The sequence below is a fragment of the Homo sapiens genome, chromosome 2 (assembly GCF_000001405.40).
Source record: "Homo sapiens chromosome 2, GRCh38.p14 Primary Assembly".
Lineage (NCBI taxonomy): Eukaryota > Metazoa > Chordata > Mammalia > Primates > Hominidae > Homo > Homo sapiens.
In genome coordinates this window covers 116,141,737-116,145,694 of record NC_000002.12, presented here as the reverse complement: position 1 = coordinate 116,145,694, position 3,958 = coordinate 116,141,737, and the positions used below count along the sequence as shown (strand labels likewise).

Below are 3,958 nucleotides of genomic sequence, written 5' to 3'. Positions count from 1 at the left end.
TACATTTCATTGCGAATGCTACTCACACAATATGGCTGCTAACCTGGTAAAACTTATAAACACTTCACAGTAGATATTTAGGACTTCAAATATCGAAAACTTCCACTATGATTCTTTCCTTCTTACATTTATCAACACTTCTCTACCCCCACCCTCACATACCTACACTAGAAAATCCTTGGGTTGTTGTAAGTTATTGAGAGTAAGTTGATAGAATATCTTATGGCCCAGTCCCCACTATACTTCAAAAAAAAATAAGGAATTAGATTTTTTAATAGTCACAGGTACTACTCTTTATTATTTGTCTTATGAGATATATATGATGGCACAAGGGTCTTCGTGAAGAAAAGAAACTATCTAAAGGCCATTGGGATAATTCCTTGCAGAATTTTTGGCAAGCTCTTTGGAAGACTCTGAAAAACATAAAAACGGCCAAGCAACGGAGCCATCTGCCTCATCTGGGCTGAGATTCAGTTAACAGTTTATAACATCACTTTTGAGATTTTGCATAGAACCTAGGTTCATGCAAGACAATCCTCACATATAGTTTCAGAAATAAATGGATAACATATGGTTGCCTATGGAGAAATAGTAGCTTATTCATTTCCTTTTACTCAACCAGGACATTTACTTAAAAGGCTGTTTTTGTACGGGCCCAGTATTTCCAGTGTGTTCCTCAGCCTCCCCTGTGGCTGGGATTACAGGTGCCTGTCACCATGCCTGGCTAATTTTTGTATTTTTAGTAGAGTCGAGGTTTTGCCATGTTGGCCAAGCTGGTCTCAAACTCCTGACATCGTGATCTGCCCACCTCGGCCACCCAAAGTGCTGGGATTACAGGTGTGAGCCACCGCGCCCATCCAGTAACTAATTTTCTATCCAACAAAGATTTAATATAACCAATAGGCACTATTCTGGGTGCTAGGTAAAGGTGATCAACTTGTGTCTTCAACTTGCTTACAGTTCAGGGAGGGAGACAGGGTAGTGTATTATTATTATAATTTACTGTGGTAAGTGCTATGATGGAAGAAGGCTTGAAGGGCCATGAAGCATCAACAAGAGACGTACTAAAAGAAGTACGCCTTACATAATTGCTGTGATAGCTGGTTTTTTGTTTTTGTTTTTGTTTTGAGTTGGAGTCTTGTTCTTGTTGCCCAGCCTGGAGTGCAACGGCACAATCTCAGCTCACTGCAACCTCCACCTCCCGGGTTCAAGTGATTCTCTTGCCTCAGCCTCCTGAGGAGCTGGGATTACAGGTGCCCACCACCACGCCTGGCTAATCTTTGTATTTTTAGTAGAGATGGAGTTTTGCCATGTTGGCCAGGCTGGTATCGAACTCGTGACTTTGTGATCCGCCCACCTCAGCCTCCCAAAGGGTTGGGATTACAGGCATGAGCCACCGTGCCCGGCTGGTAACTAGTTTCCTATCCAACAAAGATTTAATACAACCAAGCAAGTTCAACTTTGCTACCTCAAGAGAAGGAAAAAAAAAAATTCAGTGTCTATAATTTAGCTAGCTCTGTCACTTTTCTAGAAAATTCTAAAGCAAATTACTAGACTGTAAGGCGAGAAATATTATAAGAAGAAAAAATGAGCTGGTTCCTTTGTGATGGAAATACAGAGTAGCTCTACTATGATGTCCATTTTTTAAATGTCATGTTCATTTCGAAACTAAATCTTGTGTAAATGACGAGTTAATGGGTGCAGCACACCAACATGGCACATGTATACATATGTAACAAACCTGCACATTGTGCACATGTGCCTTAAAACTTAAAGTATAAAAAACAAACAAACAAACAAACAAAAAACCAAAAAAACCTAAATCTTGTACATAACTATGGAAAATACTTGCTCAAATTGTTTAATGTATCTTGGTAGATTCTGGCATCTCCAGAAACTTTAAATATCCTCCTTGATTAATAGATAAAATGCCAAATTACTCCAGTGAAAGTCCAGAGACTCTAGGCACAATGCATGGACAGTCTGGCTCCCTATAATTGTTAGTGTCATTTCCTGGGTGTCCTCTGTTACTCTGGGCATATATTTCCAAGAGTCCATGATCTAGCAGAAATATTCTGAACACTAAATTCCTCTCTTTCCACAGGATATAATTACATAAAACATGCAACTAGATGAGAACCATGGCTTCTGATAAAGATGAGGACCTTAATGTTCCACTTGGAAAAATGAGTATTCCATGTCCAGTATCTTACCACCTGTGGTCCTCCGTGCCCACACCAAGTAGAATCTTCAACTCAGATGATACAATACATAGAACAATTACATACATTTTTTTTATAATGCCCAGTTTTGAGGTAACACTCTAAGGAGGCCTCAGATTCTGGGGCCTCCAAGAAACTTCCTTGATTTGCAGGATGTAAATTGACCCTGGGTTGAGAATTGCAAGAACTGTCAGCTCATAATAACTTCATCTAAAACTCTGCTCTAAGAGAATTGACTAAACTTTAGCAGGGCTTCTATCACCGTAAGATCATTCGTTGTGTCTCCGTAACCACCCAGCTTTCTTTTAAATTCCTGCCTCGAAAAGCTCAGGGCTGTCAAAAGAATTTACTGTTTGTTTTAGGGAACCCTGGATGAATAGGCACCTGACCTGCTTATTTAGATCCTTTGCTAAACATAGCTTAACATTGTGAATACGTCTCTGTCCTTTTGAGATGTATATGCCTCTCCTACAACTCAGAAGTGTCTTTCCCAAGGACCTGAAAGCCATTACTTTAAAATGTAATAATGATTGCATTTCCAAGGAAGGATAGGGTCTCTACCTCCCAGTCCCTGTGGGAGGATAGAATCCTAACTGTGATCATTGCCAGTTAACAGACACAGCTAGACTAATTACATTTACACTGACCAACCTTTGTAATTTTTCACTTCCCTGACACTACTTGAGTGCCTGCTTGCTCCCCCTCCACTCCCTCATTCTCTCATGAAAATGCACCATCACTTCTATGCAAATCGGAATGCAACTCTGCTCTTTCCCTCTCAGTAGTTATGAATAACGTCTGTTTTCACCATTGTAACTAACATCCGGTTTTATTTATCTTCAACAGGCCCACCACAGTGTGGAAAATTTCATTAAAACATATATTCTACTCTTGTGCCATGAACTGTCCACGGAAATCAGAATGCTTAGCATTCTGATTGACAATCCTAGAATTAAGGCCTATGCTATTTCATTACTTTTTTAAAAGGACTTGTTTTGGTGGCAGCAAAGACCCTCTTCAAATCTGGGTTTTTAATGTAGCAAGAAGGACCTCATGATGGTACTGAAAACACCATTGTTGTTTAACTTATTGGACTTATCAATACTCCCTGGGCTGTTTACAAGGTCTCAAGATAACACTTGTATATTTTCAACAATCCATGTTTCCTCTGGGTACCTGGTTTAGTCAATTAGAGAATGAGCCACTAGTTTCTGAGAACAACGTATGATTCAATGAAAAAGTGAAACTAGCTTTCCATCTGCATTCAACTTAAACAAGTCCATCAGTACATTGATTCAAAACATGCCTTTCCTGGCCTTTTACCTCCCATGCCAATACCCATCATCATTCTTGTCAGGCCTCTGAGCCCAAGCTAAGCCATCGTATCCCCTGTGACCTGCACATATACGCCCAGATGGCCCAAAGCAAGTGAAGAATCACAAAAGAAGTGAAAATGACTGGTTCCTGCCTTAATTGATGACATTCCACCACAAAAGAAGTGAAAATGGCTGGTCCCTGCCTTAACTGATGATATTACCTTGTGAAATTCCTTCTGCTGGCTCATCCTGGCTCAAAAGCTCCCCAACTGAGCACCTTGTGACCCCCACCCCTGCCTGCCAGAGAACCCCCCTTTGACTGTAATTTTCCTTTACCTACCCAAATCTTATAAAACGGCCCCACCCTTATCTCCCTTTGCTGACTCTCTTTTTGGACTCAGCCCGCCTGCACCCAGGTGA

At 40.7% G+C, this 3,958-nt stretch overlaps 1 annotated feature.

Moving 5' to 3' along the window:
* Nucleotides 2,334–3,154: an enhancer, noted in NCBI's record as "OCT4-NANOG hESC enhancer chr2:116900117-116900937 (GRCh37/hg19 assembly coordinates)". NCBI's record gives its function as "activates a minimal SCP1, AML or CMV promoter by ChIP-STARR-seq in primed H9 embryonic stem cells {active_cell/tissue: H9 hESC(primed)}" and the evidence as "EXISTENCE:reporter gene assay evidence [ECO:0000049][PMID:30033119]".